The sequence below is a fragment of the Homo sapiens genome, chromosome 16, assembly GCF_000001405.40.
Source record: "Homo sapiens chromosome 16, GRCh38.p14 Primary Assembly".
NCBI classification, from domain to species: domain Eukaryota; kingdom Metazoa; phylum Chordata; class Mammalia; order Primates; family Hominidae; genus Homo; species Homo sapiens.
This window is the reverse complement of record NC_000016.10, coordinates 31,243,361-31,246,623: the sequence shown is the minus strand read 5'-3', so window position 1 is coordinate 31,246,623 and position 3,263 is coordinate 31,243,361. Positions and strand designations below refer to the sequence as shown.

Sequence of the window (3,263 nt, the reverse complement as noted above, 5' to 3'; positions counted from 1 at the left end):
CTTCATAGAAATCCTATGAAGAAGGTATTCTAGCCCCATTTTGCAGATGAAGAAACTGAGGCACATGGAAGTTATGTAACCAGGCTGGGTGCAGTGGCTCACACTGGGACTTTGCGGGGCTGAGGTGGGAGGATCACTTGAAGCTAGGAGTTCAAGACCGATAATATAGCAAGACCTCTTCTGTTGTGGGAAGCCCGGAACCCCTAATGGAGGGACCAGCTGAAGCCATGGCAGAAGAACATAAATTGTGAAGATTTCATGGACATTTATTAGTTTCCCAAATTAATACTTTCATAATTTCTTATGCCTGTCTTTACTGCAATCTCTGAACATAAATTGTGAAGATTTCATGGACACATATCACTTCCCCAATCAATACCCTTGTGATTTCCTATGCCTGTCTTTACTTTAATCTCTTAATCCCGTCATCTCGTAAACCGAGGAGGATGCATGTCACCTCAGGACCCGGTGATGATTGTGTTAACTGCACAAATTGTTTGTAGAGCATGTGTGTTTGAACAATATGAAATCTGGGCACCTTGAAAAAAGAACAGGATAACAGCAATGTTCAGGGAATAAGACAGACAACCTTAAATTCTGACTGCCGGTGAGCCAGGCGGAACAGAGCCATATTTCTCTTCTTTCAAAAGCAAATGGGAGAAATATCACTGAATTCTTTTTCTCAGCAAGGAACATCCCTGAGAAAGAGGATGCATCCCTGAGGGGAGGCCTCTGAAATGGCCGCTTCGGGGGGCAGCCGTCATTTATGGTCAAAGCTGTAGGGATGAAATAAGCCCCACTCTCCCATAGCGCTTCCAGGTTTATTAGGACGAGGAAATTCCCACCTAATAAATTTTGATCAGACCGGTTGTCTGCTCTCAAACCCTGGCTCCTGGTAAGATGTTATCAATGACAATGCGTTCCTGAAACTTCATTAGCAATTTTAATTTCACCCCAGTCCTGTGGTCCTGTGATCTCGCCCTGCCTCCATTTGCCTTGTGATATCTTATTACCTTGTGAAGCATGTGATCTCTGTGACCCACATCCTATTCGTACACTCCCTCCCCTTTTGAAAATCACTAATAAAAACTTGCTGGTTTTACGGCTCAGGGGGCATCACAGAACCTGCTGACATGTGATGTCTCCCCTGGACACCCAGCTTTAAAATTTCTCTCTTTTGTACTCTGTCCCTTTATTTCTCAGACCAGCTGACACTTAGGGAAAATAGAAAAGAATATTCTATGTGAAATATCAGGGGTGAATTTCACCCGATATCTGGCTGAATTTCCCTCAATACTCATCTCTACAGAAAAATTTAAAATTCACACCACTGCATTCCAGCCTGGGCAACAGAACAAAACTCTGTCCAAAAAAAAAAAAAAAAAAAAAAAGCCAGGCACAGTGGCTCACGCCTGTAATCCTAGCACTTTGGGAGGCCAAGGCGAGCAGATCACCTGACGTCGGGAGTTCAAGACCAGCCTGACCAACATGGAGAAACCCCATCTCTACTAAAAATACTTTTTAGCCGGGCATGGTGGCACATGCCTGTAATCCCAGCTACTCAGGAGGCTGAGGCTGAGGCAGGAGAATCACTTGAACCTGGGAGGTGGAGGTTGCGGTGAGCTGAGATCACACCATGGCACTCCAGCCTGGGCAACAAGAGTGAAACTCCATCTCAACAAACAAGGCCAGGCGTGGTGGCTCACGCCTGTAACCCCAGCACTTTGGGAGGCCAAGGCAGGCGGATCACCTGAGGTCGGGAGTTTGAGACCAGCCTGACCAACATGGAGAAACCCCATCTCTACTAAAAATACAAAATTAGCCGGCGTGGTGGCGCATGCCTGTAATCCCAGCTATTCGGGAGGCTGAGGCAGGGGAATCCCTTGAACCTGGGAGGCAGAGTTTGTGGTGAGCCGAGATCGCACCATTGCACTCCAGTCTGGGCAACAAGAGCGAAACTCCATCTCAAAAAAAAAAAGGAGGAAGAGAATATAGCTTTTTAAACACTAAAACACATTTCACAAAAACCATTAAGCATTTTTAGTTGTCTAGGGTGGTACACACCTGTAGTTTCAGCTACTCAGGAGGCTGAGGCAGAAGGATCACTTGAGCCCAGGAGGTCAAGGCTGCAACGAGCCACAGTCATGTGACTGCACTCCAGCCTGGGCAACAGAGTGAGACCCTGTCCCAAAAAAAAAAAAAGTTATGTGATTATATGCCAAGTATTTACAACAGAGATTATGTCTGTTGGGATGCTTTGAGCTACAAATAACAGAGATCACAACTTAAACAATAGCCCATGAATCCTATCACAGAAAGAGGCCAGACAGGAGCTCCAGGGCAGGGTAATCGGAAGCTCAGCAGTGTCTGTTAAACACCGAGTGATTTTATCTCACATCACTGGATTCCACAAGGCTGAACTGAATTGTTGTCAGGTTCCTCTTTGCTATTCTGAAGTTTCTCCTCACTTCCCCTTTTCCCATTGAGGAGTGGGCCTCCCTTACCTAATGTGTTTCACTTCCCCGGTATCTACAACTACAATTTATTGGGCTTCCTGCTGGACTCTTAGAAATGAAGCAATGAATTCCTCACTTATTCATTTACTCATTAAAATATATAAACTCAAGATAAACTCGAGAGACTGAGGCAAGAGGATCTCTTGAGCCCAGGAGTTCAAGGCTGCAGTGAGCTATGATCGTGCTACTGCACTCCAACCTGGGTAACAGGGTAAGACTCTATCTCTTTAAAAAAAAAAAAAAAGTATCTCTCTCTCTCTTTTTTTTTTTTTTTTTTTTTTGAGATGGAATTTCGCTCTTGTTGCCCAGCCTGGAGTGCAATGGCGAGGTCTCAGCTCACTGCAACTGCTGCCTCCCAGGTTCAAGCAATTCTCCTGCCTCAGCCTCCCAAGTAGCTGGGATTACAGGCACCTGTCACCATGCCCAGCTAATTTTTGTTTTTTTAGTAGAGACAGGATTTCACCATGTTGGCCAAGCTGGTCTTGAACTCCTGACCTCAAGTGATCTGCCCACCTCAGCCTCCCAAAATGCTGGGATTACAGGCATGAACCACCATGCCCAGCTTGCTCTATCTCTCTTTCTCTCTCTCTCTCTCTATATGTATAGGTATATGTATACCTATACATATATATCCAGATATATAGAGATAACGTGTGTGTGTGTATATATATATATATATAATGTGTACATATATATAATGTGTACGTATATATAATGTGTATGTGTGTATATATATAGAGAGAGAGA

At 44.6% G+C, this 3,263-nt stretch overlaps 4 annotated features.

The window, feature by feature from the left end:
* Positions 228–730: an enhancer, noted in NCBI's record as "OCT4-NANOG-H3K27ac hESC enhancer chr16:31257215-31257717 (GRCh37/hg19 assembly coordinates)". NCBI's record gives its function as "activates a minimal SCP1, AML or CMV promoter by ChIP-STARR-seq in naive H9 embryonic stem cells {active_cell/tissue: H9 hESC(naive)}" and the evidence as "EXISTENCE:reporter gene assay evidence [ECO:0000049][PMID:30033119]".
* Positions 1,236–1,739: an enhancer, noted in NCBI's record as "H3K27ac-H3K4me1 hESC enhancer chr16:31256206-31256709 (GRCh37/hg19 assembly coordinates)". NCBI's record gives its function as "activates a minimal SCP1, AML or CMV promoter by ChIP-STARR-seq in naive H9 embryonic stem cells {active_cell/tissue: H9 hESC(naive)}" and the evidence as "EXISTENCE:reporter gene assay evidence [ECO:0000049][PMID:30033119]".
* Positions 1,740–2,244: an enhancer, noted in NCBI's record as "H3K27ac-H3K4me1 hESC enhancer chr16:31255701-31256205 (GRCh37/hg19 assembly coordinates)". NCBI's record gives its function as "activates a minimal SCP1, AML or CMV promoter by ChIP-STARR-seq in naive H9 embryonic stem cells {active_cell/tissue: H9 hESC(naive)}" and the evidence as "EXISTENCE:reporter gene assay evidence [ECO:0000049][PMID:30033119]".
* Positions 2,606–2,695: an enhancer, noted in NCBI's record as "active region_10758". NCBI's record gives its function as "activates an Ori minimal core promoter by ATAC-STARR-seq in GM12878 lymphoblastoid cells {active_cell/tissue: GM12878}" and the evidence as "EXISTENCE:reporter gene assay evidence [ECO:0000049][PMID:35858748]".